The sequence below is a fragment of the Homo sapiens genome, chromosome 4 (genome assembly GCF_000001405.40).
Source record: "Homo sapiens chromosome 4, GRCh38.p14 Primary Assembly".
NCBI classification, from domain to species: Eukaryota; Metazoa; Chordata; class Mammalia; order Primates; family Hominidae; genus Homo; species Homo sapiens.
Window position 1 is genome coordinate 172911910 of NC_000004.12, and position 19454 is coordinate 172931363.

General features: G+C 40.1%; 1 protein-coding gene across 8 annotated transcripts in view; it reads left to right on the forward strand.

The window, feature by feature from the left end:
• GALNTL6 (polypeptide N-acetylgalactosaminyltransferase like 6) overlaps nucleotides 1-19454 on the forward strand; it is a 1228156-nt gene that overhangs the window by 1098506 nt on the left and 110196 nt on the right. For all 8 annotated transcript variants that reach the window (NM_001034845.3, XM_017008243.3, XM_017008244.3 and 5 more), the window contains one exon: nucleotides 19252-19359. In NM_001034845.3, coding sequence (NP_001030017.2) covers nucleotides 19252-19359 — 108 coding nt within the window. The remainder of the gene's footprint in view (nucleotides 1-19251; nucleotides 19360-19454) is intronic.

The following is a 19454-nucleotide window of genomic DNA, read 5'->3' on the forward strand; positions in this document are numbered from 1 at the left end:
CATGGCATTCAGTACCTGTGGTAAGGTCAATTTGACTTCCTATAGAAATCTTTTTAATGTTGAGATTTTTTTCCAAAGTTTTCTATTTTTCTGGTTGCCATTTTCCTCTAACAAGAAAAATGAAATATAATCTAATCATGCTAATGCTTCTAACACATCAATCTATATAAAGCAAGTCAGTTTGCCCCCCACACAAGAGGTATTTGTACAGAAAGTTTCAAAATAAAACACCTCTTCATATAGTTCTCAAGTCCTTCACCCAAAACCAAATAACAATATTATTGTGAGCCTTCAGAGTGTATACACACATTCACTTTAGAGGTATAAGAATTTGATTTTTGGTTCCAAGATGGCCAAATAGGAACAGCTCCAGTCTACAGCTCCCAGTGTCAGCAACGCAGAAGACGGGTGATTTCTGCATTTCCAACTGAGGTACCAGATTCATCTCACTGGGACTTGTTGGACAGTGGGTGCAGCCCGTGGAGTGTGAGCCAAAGCAGGGCAGGACATCACCTCACCTGGGAAGTGCAAGAGGTCAGGGAATTCCCTTTCCTAGACAAGGGAAGCCATGACAGACGGTACCTGCAAAATAGGACACTCCCACCCTAATACTGCGCTTTTCCAATTGTCATAGCAAATGGCACACCAGGAGATTATATCCCATGCTTGGCTCACCAGGTCCCACGCCCACAGAGCCTTGCTCACTGCTAGCACAGCAGTCCAAGACCCAACTGAGAGGCCGCAGCGAGGGTGGGGGAGGGGCATCTGCCATTGCTGAGGCTTGACTAGGTAAACAAAGCGGTGGGGAAGCTTGAACTGGGTGGAGCCCAGCGCAGCTCAGTGAGGCCTGCCTGCTTCTGTAGACTCCAGCTCTGGGGGCAGGGCATAGCTGAACAAAAGGCAGCAGAAACTTCTGCAGACTTAAACGTCCCTGTCTGACAGCTTTGAAGAGAGCAGTGGTTCTCCCAGCATGGAGTTTGAGGTCTGAGAATGAACAGACTGCCTCCTCAAGTGGGCCTCTGATCCCTGAGTAGCCTAACTGGGAGACACCTCCCAGTAGGGGCCGACTGACACCTCATACAGCCGGGTAACCCTGTGAGACAAAGCTTCCAGAGGAAGGATCAGGCAGCAACATTTGCCGTTCTGCAATATTTGCTGTTCTGCCACCTCCGCTGGTGATACCCAGGAAAACAGGGTCTGGAGTGGACCTCCAGCAAACTCCAACAGATCTGCAGCTAAGGGTCCTGACTGTTAGAAGGAAAACTAACAGACAGAAAGGAATAACATCAACAAAAAGGACATCCACACCAAAATCCCATCTGTAGGTCACCATCATCAAAGACCAAAGGTAGATAAAACCACAAAGATGGGGAGAAACTAGAGCAGAAAAGCTGAAAATTCTAAAAATCAGAGCACCTCTTCTCCTCCAAAGGATCGCAGCTCCTCGCCAGCAACAGAACAAAGCTGGACGGAGAATGACTTTGATGAGTTGACAGAAGTAGGCTTCAGAAGGTTGGTAATAACTAACTTCTTCGAGCTAAAGGAGGATGTTCGAGCCCATTGCAAGGAAGCTAAAAACCTTGAAAAAAGATTAGACGAATGGCTAACTAGAATAAACAGCATAGAGAAGACCTTAAATGACCTGATGGAGCTGAAAACCATGGCACGAGAACTACGTGACGCATGCACAAGCTTCAGTAGCCGATTCAATCAAGTGGAAGAAAGGGTATCGGTGACTGAAGATCAAATGAATGAAATGAAGTGAGAAGAGAAGTTGAAAGAAAAAAGAGTGAAAAGAAATGAACAAAGCCTCCAAGAAATGTGGGACTATGTGAAAAGACCAAATCTACATTTGATTGGTGTACCTTAAAGTGATGGGAAGAATGGAACCAAGTTGGAAAACAACCTTCAGGATATTATTCAGGAGAAATTCCCCAACCTAGCAAGGCAGGCCAACATTCAAATTCAGGAAATACAGAGAATGCCACAAAGATACTCCTCAAGAAGAGCAACCCCAAGACACATAATTGTCAGAGTCATCAAGATTGAAATGAAGGAAAAAATGTTAAAGGCAGCCAGAGAGAAAGGTCAGGTTACCCACAAAGGGAAGCCCATCAGACTAACAGCTAATCTCTCAGCAGAAACTCTACAAGCCAGAAGGTTGGGGGGGTGGTGGCCAATATTCAACATTCTTAAAGAAAAGAAATTTCAACCCAGAATTTCATATCCAGCCAAACTAGGCTTCATAAGTGAAGGAGAAATAAAAGCCTTTACAGACAAGCAAATGCCGAGAGATTTTGTCACCACCAGGCCTGCCTTACAAGAGCTCCTGAAGGAAGCACTAAACATGGAAAGGAACAACTGGTACCAGCCACTTCATAAACATGCCAAATTGTAAAGACCATCAATGCTAGATAGAAATTGCGTCAACTAATGAGCAAAATAACCAGCTAACGTCATAATGACAGGATCAAATTCACACATAACTATATTAACCTTAAATGTAAATGGGCTACATGCCCCAATTAAAAGACACAGACTGGCAAATTGGATAAAGAGTCAAGACCCATCAGTGTGCTGTATTCAGGAAACCCATCTCACATGCAGAGACATAGATAAGCTCAAAATAAAGGGATGGAGGAAGATCTACCAAGCAAATGGAAAACAAAAAAAGGCAAGGATTGCAATCCTAGTCTCTGATAAAACAGACTTTAAACCAACAAAGATCAAAAGAGACAAAGAAGGCCATTACATAATGGTAAAGGGATCAATTCAACAAGAAGAGCTAACTATCCTAAATGTATATGCACCCAATACAGGAGCACCCAGATTCATAAAGCAAGTCCTTAGAGACCTACAAAGAGATATAGACCCCCAAGCAATAATAACAGGAGACTTTAACACCCCACTGTCAACATTAGACAGATTAACGAGACAGAAAGTTCACAAGGATATCCAGGACTTGAACACAGCTCTGCACCAAGTGGACCTAATAGACATCTACAGAACTCTCCACCCCAAATCAACAGAATATACATTCTTCTCAGCACCACATCGCACTTATTTCAAAATTGACCACATAGTTAGAAGTAAAGCACTCCTCAGCAAATGTAAAACAATAGAAATTATAACAAACTGTCTCTCAGACCACAGTGCAATCAAGTTAGAACTCAGGATTAAGAAACTCACTCAAAACCTCACAACTACATGGAAACTGAACAACCTGCTCCTGAATGACTACTGGGTACATAATGAAATGAAGGCAGAAATAAAGATGTTCTTTGAAACCAATGAGAACAAAGACAGAACATACCAGAATCTCTGGCACACATTTAAAGCACTGTAGAGGGAAATTTGTAACACTAAATGCCCACAAGAGAAAGCAGGAAAGATGTAAAATCAACACCCTAACATCACAATCAAAAGAACTAGAGAAGCAAGAGCAAACAAATTCAAAAGCTAGCAGAAGGCAAGAAATAACTAAGATCAGAGCAGAACTGAAGGAGATAGAGACACAAAAAAACCTTCAAAAATTCAATGAATCCAGCAGCTGGTTTTTCGAAAAGATCAACAAAATAGATAGATGGCTAGCAAGACTAATAAAGAAGAAAAGAGAGAAGAATCAAATAGATGCAGTAAAAAATGATGAAGGGGATATCACCAATGATCCCACAGAAATACAAACTACCATCAGAGAATACTATAAACACTTCTACGCAAATAAACTAGAATATCTAGAAGAAATGGATAAATTCCGGGACACATACAGCCTCCAAAGTCTAAACCAGGAAGAAGTCAAATCCCTGAACAGTCCAATAACAAGGTCTGAAATTGAGGCAGTAATTAATAGCCTATCAACAAAAAAGTCCAGTACCAGATGGATTCACAGCCGAATTCTACCAGAGGTACAAAGAGGAGCTGGTACCATCCCTTCTGAAACTATTCCAAAAAATAGAAAAAGAGGGAATCTTCCCTAACTCATTTTATGAGGCCAGCATCATCCTGATACCAAAGACTGGCAGAGACACAACAAAAAAAGAGAATTATAGGCCAATACCCCTGATGAACAGTGATGCAAAAATCCTCAATAAAATACTGGCAAACTGAATCCAGCAATACATCAAAAAGCTTATCCACCACAATCAAGTTGGCTTCATCCCTGGAATGAAAGGCTGGTTCAACATATGCAAATCAATAAGTGTAATCCATCATATAAACAGAACCAAAGACAAAAACCACATGATTATCTCAATAGATGCAGAAAAGGCCTTTGACAAAATTCAACAACCCTTCATGCTAAAAACACTCAATAAACTAGGTATTGATGGGACGTATCTCAAAATAATAAGAGCTATTTATGACAAACCCACAGCCAATATCATACTGAATGGGCAAAAACTGGAAGCATTCCCTTTGAAAACTGGCACAAGACAGGGATGCCCTCTCTCACCACTCCTATTCAACATAGTGTTGGAATTTCTGGCCAGGGCAATCAGACAAAAGCAAGAAATAAAGAGTATTCAATTAGGAAAAGAGGAAGTCAAATTGTCTCTGTTTGCAGATGACATGATTGTATATTTAGAAAACCCCATTGTCTCAGCCCAAAATCTCCTTAAGCTGATAAGCAACTTCAGCAAAGTCTCAGGATACAAAATCAATGTGCAAAAATCACAAGCATTCCTATACACCAATAACAGACAAACAGAGAGCCAAATCATGAGTGAACTCCCATTCACAATTGCTTCAAAGAGAATAAAATACCTAGGAATCGAACTTACAAGGGATGTGAAGAACCGTTTCAAGGAGAACTACAAACCACTGCTCAATGAAATAAAAGAGGACACAAACAAATGGAAGAACATTCCCTGCTCATGAATAGAAAGAAACAATATCGTGAAAATGGCCATACTGCCCAAGGTAATTTATAGATTCAATGCCATCCCCGTCAAGCTACCAATGACTTTCTTCACAGAATTGGAAAAAACTACTTTAAAGTTCATATGGAACCAAAAAAGAGCCCACATTGCTAAGACAATCCTGAGCAAAAAGAACAAAGCTGGAGGCATCACACTACCTGACTTCAAACTATACTACAAGGCTACAGTAACCAAAACAGCATGGTACTGTTACCAAAACAGAGATATAGACCAATGGAATGGAACAGAGCCCTCAGAAATAATACCACACGTCTACAACCATCTGATCTTTGACAAACCTGACAAAAACAAGAAACGGGGAAAGGATTCCCTATTTAATAAATGGTGCTGGGAAAACTGGCTAGCCATATGCAGGAAGCTGAAACTTGATCCTTTCCTTACACCTTATACAAATATTAATTCAAGATGGATTAAAGACTTAAATGTTAGACCTAAAACCATAAAAACCCTAGAAGAAAACCTAGGAAATACCATTCAGGACATAGGCATGGGCAAGGACTTCATGATTAAAACACCAAAAGCAATGGCAACAAAAGCCAAAATTGACAAATGGGATCTAATTAAACTAAAGAGCTTCTGCACAGCAAAAGAACCTACCATCAAAGTGAACAGGCAACATACAGAATGGGAGGAAAGTTTTGCAATCTACTCATCTGACAAAGGGTTAATATCCAGAATCTGCAAAGAACTCAAACAAATTTACACGAAAAAAACAAACAACCCCATCAAAAAGTGGGCGAAAGACATGAACAGACACTTCTCAAAAGAAGACTTTTATGCAGCCAACAGACACATGAAAAAATGCTTATCATCACTGGCCATCAGAGAAATGCAAATCAAAACCACAATGAGATACCATCTCACACCAGTTAGAATGGGGATCATTAAAAAGTCAGGAAACAACAGGTGCTGGAGAGGTTGTGGAGAAATAGGAACGCTTTTACACTGTTGGTGGGACTGTAAACTAGTTCAACCATTGTGGAAGACAGTGTGGAGATTCCTCAAGGATCTAGAACTAGAAATACCATTTGACCCAGTGATCCCATTACTGGGTATATACCCAAAGGATTATAAATCATGCTACTATAAAGACACATGCACACATATGTTTATTGTGGCACTATTCACAATAGCAAAGACTTGGAACCAACCCAAATGTCCATCAATGATAGACTGGATAAAGAAAATGTGGCACATATACACCATGGAATACTATGCAGCCATAAAAAGGATGAGTTTGTAGGGACATGGATGAAGCTGGAAACCATCATTCTGAGCAAACTATCACAAGGACAGAAAACCAAACACCGCATGCTCTCACTCATAAGTGGGAATTGAACAATGAGAACACTTGGACACAGAGTGGGGAACATCACACATTGGGGCCTGTTGTGGGGTGGGGGGAGGCAAGGGATAGCATTAGGAGAAATACCTAATGTAAATGATGAGTTAATGGGTGCAGCACATGAACACGGCACATGTATACATATGTAACAAACTTCCACATTGTGCACATGTACCCTAGAACTTAAAGTATAATTTAAAAAAAATAAAATAAAATAAAAAATAAAGAATTTGATTTTTATATTCTACATCAAGGTCAGCAGCCTGTAACACATAAGGCCAACAGAAGTTAACCAGTACTCCCTTTTCCTCTCCAAACAGCTGAGAATACATATAATGCCTTCCTTCCCCCAACACACACATTCACAGACCTGCATGTTATCATATGCCCTGACTCCTCTCATGGAGGCCAACATGTGGATATACATCAACCACCTCACGTAACCCCCAACATACCGGAAAAATAGGCTGTCCACTAGGTAGACTATATCGTGTAATCACCATTCTTGAGTACCTATAATGTGCCTCCTCCAGATGCTGTGTGTATTATTTAATTTGGTCCTTACAACCACCTATGAAGTAGATACATTACCCCAACTTTATGGAAGATGACCCTGAGACTCAGAAAATGGTGGAAAGCTGCCCAACTGAAGCTCGGTTCACTGTGCCACATTGTGAAAGTGTATCAACTTTTCCTAGAGATAGAAATAATTTGCAAACACCATTATAAACCTTCAAGAGTTTCACATTTTTTATTTTGGTGAAAACATCTTCATATTTAATATTGCTTAAAAAACTAACAAAAAAATTTAAAACTGAATTTCTCTTTGATTCTTTGAGGCATTTATTGCAATGCTGTTCATTTGAGTAGCATTTGACTGAGTGCTTGTTCTAAAGTGCACCCTTGGCTCCTAGAAACCCAAACCCTCACTGTTTACGAAAAGAGTTTTTAAATGTGGATATTTGACTTGCAAGAAGACAGAAACCCACCTCATTTTAACTTAGAAGAAAGGAAGAATTCGGGAGGAAGCTCGTGGAAACGGTGCAAAAGTCAGGAAAATGGATGAGTCTCTTGGTGGCCTGAGGGCCTCAAGTGCTGCTAGGACCTTTGCTCTGAATGTCTCCCCACCATGCCTCTCAGTGTCCATTTCATTCCCTCTCACGGACTCCCCTCCTGCCCCTCAGGCATGGCCGCTGAAAGCTCTCGGGCTTTCATTTTCCGCTTCACCACCAGAGAGGTAGTTCCAGCCACCATGATGAAACCTCAGAGAAGGACTTCAATTCACCTGGCCTGAGTCATGTTCCCACCCCTGCCATCAGGACATGGCAAGATTGACAGCCCAAGTGAGCGGCAAAGGAAAAGCCTATTTGAATATTTTTGTAAAAGAAGGAAGGTTCTGTTCCACTACAGAAAGTCAACTTTTTAAAAATGTTTTTAAAACTTTGATTATATTTTTAGCAGATGGTGAATCCAGAAAATGTAAGCAATAAACTCAAATTCTGGAGACATATGGAAATATGGTAAAAAGCAGGTGCTTTGCCTCTGATGTAAATTCTAAGCTGCAGAATAATGAATTAAGGGAAATGACAGGTTAGGTCCTTAATTACATTTTACCCAAAGAAGCACTCTTCAGATGTTCAAATCCAGTTTTTCCTCCCCAAGACTTAAAGTTTTGAATAAACATTAAGTGATACATCTGTTTTTAAGTTTCATTCCCCGCCCCCAAATCGCTGTTTTTAAGACTGCTTAATGTTACTGTAGAAATGAACACTTTCTTAAAAGTAGTGATCCTGTGAACAATGTAACCTCTGAAGCTCTTCTGCTACCACTCAAACCTCTAGAAACTCATTAAATGCAAGATTGACCACATTTTTTATACTGACACAACAGAGCATTTCTGACTTAGAAAAAATTCTAAGCAGATAACTCAAGAAATTAGGGAATTTTCCCCTGAAAATAAAACCATCATATTCTCATTATAGACTATAAACACATTTCTAACTTCTACTTTTATTTCATTCTGATCAACAAATAGAAAAGGGGGATCAGGACAAGTCAAAATAAGCTGTTCTTTTTTTCTCGCTATCTCAGAGAATAACCTCAAAATCCAGATTTCTGTGAATAAAGGAAAGCAATGCTTTGTGGAAGTGTATCTTCCCAAAGTTACCCTTTTTAGATGTAGTTTTATTACATCTAGCCCAGAAAAGTAGTTTAATGATAGCCATAGCCCTTTTCAAAATCTATATCCCAAAGCTTTTCAGGTTAACAATATTTTAATTTCTAGATAGATGGTAAAGTGCTTGACTGTCTAGTCTTAAGAATTTTTTCAACCTTACCCTGCCTAAGTTATACCATACAATTAGGAAGTTATTTTCTGGTCCTAGAAATTTAAGTATTTATTTATATAGAGAGTGCTGTATTTTTAACATCACTCATTTCTTTAATTTATAATAAACAACTAGTGAATGAAAATAAGCTCAAAAAAGCTTATTCCCTTGAAATTTACATTTGAATGTATTATGATCGTAGCTGTTATTTTTAATGGCAGCTAGCTACAGAGTGAGTTATCATTAAGTAACTCAGTTGTCTGGAATTAACCTGACTTTATATTAATAAACCAATAACTCATTCATTCAGTCAGTCAACAAATACCTACAGAGTACCATGTGTCAGGCACTGTTAAAGGTGCTTAGGATACATCACTTAATGAACATAGTAAATAAGTGAGATATCTACTGAGTTAGAAGGTGTGAGAACACAGGCAGAAAAGGGTGATGAGTACTGAGAGTATAGGATGGATCAAAAGGATTTGGAGCTATGACTTGAAGGAGATGAGGGAACTAGGCATGTGGAGTTCTGCAAGAAGAGAATTCCAGGCAGAAGAAACCGCCAAGATAATGCCCGAGGGTGACAGAGTATCTGGCTTGTAGGAGGAACAGAAAAGAAGCCAGAATAGCTTGGGCAGAAGGAGGGAAGGAAAGAAGCATAGGAAATAAGATTAGAGAGATAGCCAATTTTGGGGCTGAATGCTTTTAATAAATACTTTTTTGAGAATTTGAATTATTATTTCCATAAAGTGTATTATGCTTCATCTTATACCTGATCATAGTGCTCCCTTATTGTCCTCCTAATAACCAGTTTCTTATTGAAACTAATTTCATAGTTCATGTGACCAGTGTAACTGTATGATTCTATTGAATTTAACATTCTCTATGTCCAAATTTCAGGTTGTGGCTGATATAGAAAATTGTTTTAAAAATAAGACAAACATTTAATTATTCCATCAATTTGAACTGCATTATGACAAAAGAAAAAAATGCCAGGCCAGGCACAGTGGCTCATGCCTGTAATCCCAGTACTTTGGGAGGCCGAGGCAGGTGGATCACTTGAGGTCAGGAGTTCAACACCAGCCTAGCCAACATGGTGAAACCTGTCTCTACTAAAAATACAAAGATCAGCTGGGTGCGGCGGTGGGCCTCTATAATCCCAGCTATTTGGGAGCCTGAGGCAGGAGAATCACTTTCACCTGGGAGGCAGAGGTTGCAGTGAGCCATGATCGCTCACTGCACTCCAGCCAGGGTGACAGAGCAAGACCTTGTCTCAAAAAAAAAAAAAAAAAGCAAAGAAAAAATGCATGTATTCATTCACAGGTGAAATAACATTTCTTCAAAATATTTATGCTGTCAAAAGAAGACACATTATTTGCAAATGTAAAATATTTCTCTAAGAGTTAACTACTAAAGTATGGAGATATGGTTTGACTGTGTCCCCACCCAAATCTCAACTTGAATTGTATCTCCCAGCATTCTCATATGTTGTGGGAGGGACCCAGGGGGAGGTAATTGAATCATGGGGGCTGGTCTTTCCCATGCTATTCTCGTGATAGTGAATAAGTCTCATGAGATCTGATGGGTTTATCAGAGGTTTCCACTTTTGCTTCTTCCTCATTTTTCTCTTGCCACCACCGTGTAAGAACTGCCTTTCACCTCCCGCCATGATTCTGAGGCCTCCCCTGCCATGTGGAACTGTAAATCCAATTAAACCTCCTTTTCTTCCCAGTTTCAGGTATGTCTTTATCAGCAGCATGAAAACGGACTAATACATATGGCATGCCACTTTTTTTAGACTATCATCACATCATACTACCAAAAATTTCTTTTAAAAATATAATCCATATCTTTCAGAACAAATATAGAATTTAATACCTGCCACAACAGTGTGCTTTCCTAAGGAATCATGTTCCCACACTAATACCTAAATCCATCTACTCTATCAGAATGTGAATGCTTCTACTGAAATGTGCATAGTTATTGGCAGACTGAAAAAAAAATAAAGTAGTGCATAGTGATATCCAGGGGATAGAGACAAAAACAACTCTAAGATTAGAGATAGTGGAAGCAGTGTGCTATGGTAAAAGTAAGGGGGCCCTGAGGTTGTGTGAAGCAACACTAAATTAGAAAAGCCTTAGGGACTTCCACATAAGTAGAAGCACTAAGTATAATTGAAAGAAGAAGCCACCATATTCACCTACTCCACAAATATTTATTGAGTGTCTTCTATGTGCTGAACCCTTCAACAGTAGCTGGAGATATAATAGTGAAAAAGAAAGTCATGGAATTTATAGTCTGGTGAGGGGAGGCAGATGCTAAGCAAATCATACAGGTGCACTCAAAGAAATCATTTCATTACAGTTATCCCAAGTGTTATTGTTAGAGTAGGCAGATAGCTAGGCATGAGCAGGATGGGGAGACCCTGAGGAAATGGAGGTCTAGAAAAATCTCACACCTCAGAGATCACCAGAAACAGGTAGGCTAGTTATAAGCAGAGAGGAGGGGAAACACCTATGCAGGAAGGACCGCTCCTTAAGAGACCCAGTAATCATCTCTTTGCAGTTAACCTGCCAGGATGTAGCTAGGTGTGTGCTGACAAGGAGGGGAAGAGAGTTTATTAGTTTGTTTTCATGCTGCTGATAAAGACATACCCGACACTGGGCAATTTACAAAATAAAGAGGTTTAATGGACTTACGGTTCTACACAGCTGGGAAGGTCTCAGGATCATGGTGGAAGGCAAGAAGGAGCAAGTCACATCTTACATGGTGGCAGGGAAGAGAGAACTTGTGAGGGGAATCCCTCTTTATAAAGCCGTCAGCTCTCATAAGACTTATTCACTGTCATGAGAACAGCACTGGAAAGACCCACCCCCATGATTCAGTTACCTCCCACTGGGTCCCTACCACTACACTTGGGAAATGTGGGAGCTACAATTCAAGATGAGATTTGGGTGGGGACACAGGAAACCATATCAGAGGGCAGAGAAATTCCTAAGAAATACGCAGGTAGAATAAGTATAGATCTGACCTCTATACAACCTTCCTGGGATGGTGCTAATGAGCAATGCAGCCACTAGGTAGACTTAGTATCCAACACTGCCCCATGTGTGCACACCAAGGGGAGTATATTAGTCTGTTTTCACACTGCTGATAAACACATATCCAACACTGGGCAAGTTACAAAAGAAAGAGGTTTAAATGGATTTACGGTTCCACATGGCTGGGGAGGCCTCACTATCATGGTGGAAGGCAAGGAGGAGCAAGTCACATCTTACTTGAATGGCAGCAGGCAAAAAGAGCTTGTGCAGGAAAACTCCCCTTATAGTAAGCATCAAATCTCGTGAGACTTACTACCACGAGAACAGCACAGGAAAGACCTGCCCCCATGATTCAATTACCTCCCACCGGGTACCTCACACAACACGTGGGAATTCAAGATGAGATTTTTGTGGGGACAGAGCAGAACCATTTCAGGGAGGGTCCCACGAGCCTGGGGTGGGAACTAGGCAGGGAAAGGTAAGGGACTTAAGGCAGAAGCGGGAAAACTAGACAAAGAAAAAAGGTGATGACTTAAGACAGAGGTGAAAACTTCAAGAAAAAATCCAACATCATAAAAACCCAATGCAGAACTCTCAGGGTGCGCCTGGCCCATTCTCTTTCAGCAGCCCGCTCTGCCTCATCTTTCACAATGTCCTGTCCCTTTAAATAAACTCTCTGCTCCCTCTTTCCCTTCATGTAAAGTTTTCTGCTGTGTTTGAACTGGCCAAAACCTTTCTCCTAAGACTATAAACGACTGAGGATTCCCGCACTTCCGGGCAACACTGTCTCCAATTGAAAGAAGGCTCCATGTGCTCAAAACTTTAAGTGGGTCACACATTAGAGCTTCTGTCTGGGACGGATGCTTGGCACCTAGTGAGTGCTCACTACGTATTTGTTCACTTAACGAAGTATATGAAAGAGAAGCACAGGATAGAGTGAGAGCATGAAACAGGGAATCCCAACCAAATCTGGGGGCTCAGTGTGAGTTAAGCTGAAATCTGGAAAATATAGAGAAGACAAGGAATAGGAAAGAAGGAAAGGGAAGAGGAGAAGGTGGGAGAATTTTCTTTGGAGAAAACAACTGATGGCAGCAAGCTCTGAGGAGGGAAACCTGATCCTTCCTAAGGAATTAAAAATAGCTCTGGCCAGGGGAGTGGGAAGGTAGTGACTGAGAGACAAGTAGGCAAAGACCAGATCCTGCAAAGTCTTGGAACCTTTATGGAGCAGTTGTAACTTTGCCCTAAGAGCAGTAGAAAACCACTGAAGGATTTTGATAGAGGAATGGTATGCTCAGATTTATGTTTTTTACTGTTTTGTTTTTTGTTTTTTCGAGACAGAGTTTGGCTCTGTCGCCAGGCTAGAGTGCAGTGGCGCGATCTCGGCTCACTGCAAGCTCCACCTCCCGGGTTCACGCCATTCTCCTGCCTCAGCCTCCCGAGTACCTGGGACTACAGGTGCCTGCCACCACGCCCGGCTAATTTTTTTGTATTTTTAGTAGAGACGGGGTTTCACTGTGTTAGCCAGGATGGTCTCAATCTCCTGACCTCGTGATCCACCCACCTTGGCCTCCCAAAGTGCTGGGATTACAGGCATGAGCCACCGCACCAGGCTTATGTTTTTTTTTTTTTTTAAAGTGATCATGGGGCCGTAAGAAGGAAAAAAAAATAAATCGCAGGATTCTATAGTTTTCTCAACACTGAATTTAGAATTTAAAAAGTCTGCCCAGAAGTTTCTTGAATTTGACTTAACTACACAGAGAAACTTCTGAGGGGAAGAATTTTAAGAACCAGGATGAGGTTATCGATAGAAGACATGAATTTTGAGTCCTTGGAAATGGTAGTAACAGAACTCTAAGATGACTCTCTTCCTTGGTTTACTCACATGAGTATGTCAACGTTACATGGTAAAAGAGATTTGGCAAACGTAATTATCAATCAGTTCACTTTAAGAAGAGGAGGTAATCAAGGTAGGCCTCATCTAGTCACATGAGTTTAACCACTGCTGGGATGGAAGGTCTGTGAAGCAAGGAACTAAAAATGGTGTCGATAAGCTGAGAATGGTCCCCAGTCAGCAGCCATCAAGAAAATGGGGATCTCAGTCCCATAATTGCAAACTGAATTCTGTCAATAACCTAAGTAAACTTGAAAGCAGATTCTTCCCCTGAGGCTCCAGGTAAGAGCTCCACCCAGCAGACACCTAGACTTCAGCCTTGTGAGACCCTTGATGGAGAACCTTGTTGAGCCCTCATGGACTCCTGACCTACAGAACTGTGATACAGTAAATGTATGTTGTTTTAAACAACTAAGTATGTGGTCATCTGTTATGCACGTACATCTGTAAACACCATGTTAGAGTGACCCTCTGAGAATAATTAGTTGAAATTTTATTACTGTGTGTTTATTAGGTTGTTTTGCTATATCTTAAGAAGGAAAGAGTCTTACTTACCCATTTGGGCTGCTATAGCAAAGTGCTACAGACTGAGTGGCTTATAAATAACAGAAATTTATTTCTCACTGTTCTGGATGCTGCAAGTCTGATATCAGAGTGCCAGCATTGTTGGGTTCTGGAGAGGGCCCTCTACCAGGTTGCAGACTGCCAACTACTCATTGTATCTTCACATGGTGGAAAGACCATGAGAGAGCTCTCTGGGGTCTCTTTTACTAGTTCACTAATTCTATCCTTGAGAACTCTACCCTCATAACTTAATCACCTCCCAAGGACCCTACCTCTGAATACCACCACATTGGAGATTAAAATTTCAACATTTGAATTTGATAGGGTGGATGGATACAAACATTCAATCCATAACAGAAAGCAATAATGATTTATTGAACTTTCTATTACGGCACTTTTCATTCCGCAAATACTCTCCTAAGATGCATTTAGTTCACTTCTGCTCACTTTGTAAGTATTTTACAAGATAACATTAAGTGAAGAATAGGTTAAGGCCAGAAAATGTAAGGCATTGTTCCAGACCTTGACCCCACATCTTGTCCTCACTTATCACCATCTCCTAGTCCTGCAGGAAAGATTGGCCACCTCCACAAGCTAATCAATATTGTCACTTTTTTGTGAAAAACAAAAGGCTGTGCCAACAAATTCCTATCTCCCAGCTGCAGATGATAAGAAAGTTTCTTTGCCTTGACATTTGCTTATCTTTGACCAATAAGCACTGACATTTGATTATACACTGGACTATCCAGCATTCTCCTCCCTCCCATTTCCCACCCTAACACCTGCTGTCTAATTACTTTTAAATTCTACCTCTTTAAAATGCAGGAGTAAGAATTAAAGTAATCTCTCAAATAATTACAGTCACTAAATTTGATTAAAAATATCAGAAGAGGCTGAGAAAAAAATGACTGTTCATTAGGGTGGAACAACATCTATAATAAATCCAAAATCTTGGTAATTTAACATTAATAAGAATTTTCTATTGCTTGTCTCACAATTTGGAGGAGGAGGCATGAGCAATGCTTCACCCAGTTTTCAGCAACCCCGTCCCCATCCATTTAATGATTCTACCATCTGCTAGGGCCTCAGAATCCTCCTCTGTATCTTCTGCAATTACTCAGGCTCTGAGGGAAAAATATATTATAAATAAGGTAGAGAAAGTAGTCCACTTGTAATTTCTTTGGCCCAGAGGTGATGCACATCACTTCCATTTGCATTTCACTGTCAAGAAACAATTACATAGTCACATCTAAATACAAAGGAGCTGGGAATTATAACTTGGCTGTGTGCCCAGGAGGAAGTGAGCATGGAAATTGCTGAGTCCTAGCTCTGTATCCCGTACAATAGAATAAGATGAAATCTATGAGTGATCCATAAATTTTGGTTATCGGTGTTAGTAATTCACCTTTATCATGGATTTAGAAATATGTAGTTCCAATTACTACTGTTGCATAACAAAGCTTAGCACCATAAAGCAACTGTTTTATTAAGCTTTTGGATTTTGTGGGCCGCAAATTCAAAAAAAGGCACAGAGGAGATAGTTTGTTTCTGCTCTGTGATATATGGAGTCTCGGGGGGATGATTCAGCAGCAAGGGGCTGGAATCACGTAGAGGCATCTTTATTCACAGTGCTGGCAGCTAATGTTGGTCATCAGTTAAAACCCCAAGTAAAGGTATTTACCCAATGCATGACATCTCAGGTCCTTGGACTTTTTCACAATGGAGTAGCCTCAGAGAGTCAAATTTCTCACATGGAAGCCCAGAGTTTCAAAAACAAATGCCCCAGAGGACAGGCTATGTGGCCTTTTATGACCTATCTTCAACCACTTCTGTTGTACTCTACTGGTCTAAGAATTCATAAGCCCACCCTAATTCAAAGAGAGGAGACATAGACCGATCCCCTAATGGAAAGTTGGTTACCGAGGTCACATTGCAGAGGGGTATGTGCAATGGAAGATATTGTGGTGTCTAATTTTGGAAACTATAATCTCCCACATACATTATCTTAGAATCACTGAAAGTTAGTGTTTGAAAGGATTAATTTCTTTATAGAACAAGAGCCAGCAAACAATAGTCCACTGCCAGTTTTGGTAAGCAAGGTTTAACTGAAATACACCATGCCTATTTGTTAGCAGATTTGAGGAGTTCCAAAAGATACCATATGACCTACAAAGGCAAAAGTATTTATTTTCTGGCCCTTTACAGAAAGAGTTTGCATAATCTATAGATACAATATCAATTAAACACGTGGACACTGAAGTTAGACTACTAGGTTTTCAAATCTCAGTTCTGGAAGTGGCCAGTTATGTGGCTTTGAACAAGCTACTTAGCATCTCTAGGCTGCCATTTTCCCACCTTCATAATTGGGGAAACAGTAAAGTCTGTCATTGAATTGTGAGCATTACATGAAATAATTAATGAAAAGGGCATAATTAGCATTCATAAATGCTAACTTGTGCTGTAGAATTGCCTTAAATTATCAGCTAGATCAAATGTCCATTTGAGTCATATGTTTATCTCCAGTGTCATCTGCTGCAGATTTCAACACATCTAGTGATACAGGAAGTCCATTCTATCTTTAATCATTTTATTAGAAATTTCTTCCTACTAGGTTGAAATCTGCCCCCTTACAGCTATATGCAATTAATCCTGGTTCTATCTCCTAAAGGCTCTACAAAACATCTCTTCCAAATATTGGGTTCTTTGAAAAGGCTATCTCTGAATTTTATCTTATCAGAACTACACATCTTTAGTTCTTTCAATTGCCTCTCCTAAGACAGAGTTCACATCACTTTTCAACTTTAAAATTCCCCTTAGAAGGAAATATAAAGCATTTATCCAGAAATTAGCAAAAGACTTCAGGCCTGCAGATAGATCTAGATCGTTGGTCCCTAAATTCTCCATAGTATGTTAATGATGTGTGTTTTGTGCTACTCAGTCTTTTTCCACACTTCCTGCTGTGGAAGAGTTGATTTCTTAAGATCCTGGGACAGGTGTTTATTGTTGCCTTTTTATGTTCAATGTTATAGAGCTCCAGCCTGTGGAGATCTTTCCATATGTTGATAATGTAGTTTAGACTGTCCACTGCCCTTACCAGCTTTATATTACCCACACATATTTCTGAAGGCTTGATCCAAATCGTTACTAAATATCCCATCAAGTTGAAATTAATACTATGAGTAATCCTGAACTCAATTACAGCAACTGAATGTTGCTTTAATAATTGCACTTATTCCTTCCTGGACTTCCATTGACCTTAATCACCATTTGTTCAACCATTCTCGCTTGGGTGACATTCCTCTTAGTGAAAGAAGTTGGAAGCAAATATAAAGGAAAACATAAGCATTTCTCTTTCTCTCTTTCAATATTACACTTCAAATCAAGATATGTATCTGTATTACTCAGGGGTCTCCAGAGAAACCAAACCAAGGGAAGAGAGAGATTAATTTTAAGGAATTGGTCCACACGATTGTGGAAGCTTGGTAAGTCCACAATCTTCAGAGTAGGTGGGCAAGCTGGAGACTCAGGGATTCTGCTGGCAGAATTCCTTCTTGCTCAGTAGAGGTCAGACTTTGTTCTATTAACACCTTCATCCAATTGGATGAGGCCCATCGACATCATGGAAGGTAATTCACTTTACTCAAAGTCCACTGATTTCAAATGTTAATGGAATGCAAAAAACACCTTCACAGAAAGATCCAGAATAGTGTTTGACCAAATATCTGGGCGCCATGGTCCAGCCAAGTTGATTCATAAAATTAACCATCAGAGTATCTCTTTTTATAATCATTTATCTTACAATAAAAATAGCTAAGACTATAGCCTATATGAAGCCTGGATTTATGTTTTGATAATTAGTTCTTTTATAATAGAAGATCTGTTATATAAAACCACAATTAAGTGTGCGTCTGTCTGAGAAGGTTGTCATGGTAAAATATAACCATGACTTTTGTTACTAAATATAAAAGTACAGCATCTAGGGCCAGGTGCGGTGGCTCACGCCTGTAATCCCAACACTTTAGGAGGCCGAGGTGGGCGGATCACCTGAGGTCAGGAGTTCAAGACCAGCCTGGCCAACATGGTGAAACCTCGCCTCTACTAAAAATACAAAAAATTAGCTCAGCGTGGTAGCGGGCACCTATAATCTCAGCCACTTGGGAGGCTGAGGCAGGAGAATTGCCTGAACACAGGAGGCAGAAGTTTCAGTGAGCTGAGATCACACCATTGCACTCCAACCTAGGCAACAAGAGTGAAACTCCATCTCAAAAAAAAAAAAGTACAGCATCTTAACTGATTATTTTCTGTACCTAAGAAAAAGATCAGTGGCGGGGGGAGAAATGAGAATGCAACTCTGATTTTTAAGGTTAGCACTGTTGCAAGTTTCAGAATGCAACTTAAAAGGTATGATATGCTTGTGTTCTTTAAAGCATTCACCTATTTTTAAAATTTCACTTTTTATATGTTAAATTTTTAAATTGGCATTTTAATTTCAAATGTTATTTCTTCAAATGATTTTACAAGATTATTGAAACAAATATCTATATAAATAAGATGTCTAAGCATGAAATGTGGGTTCAATACAATATTTGTAACAAAATTTTACTAGAATTTTTCTTAAGCCAACATGTTGTCTATGGAAACAGGATTTTATTGAACTAGTATTTTAGTTTTGGTTTTGTTTTGTTAAGACAGGGTCTCGCTCTGTTCCCCAGGCTGAAGTGCAGTGGTGCAAACATAGCTCACTTCAGCAAGCCATTCGCCCAACTCAGCCTCCCAAGTAGCTGGGACTGAAGGCGCACACCACCACACCCAGCTAATTTTTGTATTTTTTGTAGAAATGTGGTTTCGTCATGTTGCCCAGGCTGGTCGTGACCACCTGGGCTCAAGTGATCCTCCCTCCTTGGCCTCCCAAAGTACTGGGATTATAAGCATGAACCACTGCACTCAGCTGTATTTTGGTTTTAAACTTTTATGAATCTAGGTTTTAAAAAAAAGTGGTTTTCTTTTCTGGTTAGCCATTTATAATAAGTAGAAATTATTGATTTAAAGACTTTTAGAGATTTTAAGATGGTTTATGAGTCCTACTGATTATTCCTTTCTTGTGTGAAATTCACTGTTGTCTTTTGTTCTATTTTTCCCTCTTCAGGTTTGGATGTGTGGAGGAGAAATGTTTGATGTTCCATGTTCTAGAGTTGGTCATATCTACAGGAAGTACGTTCCATACAAAGTTCCATCTGGGACAAGCCTGGCAAGAGTGAGTAACTCAGCATCAGAACAGACTGGGGTTGATATGGCTTTCTGTAACCAGAGTAACCAACCTTGCCCATGGCACAGTCTGAGAAAAGCTCT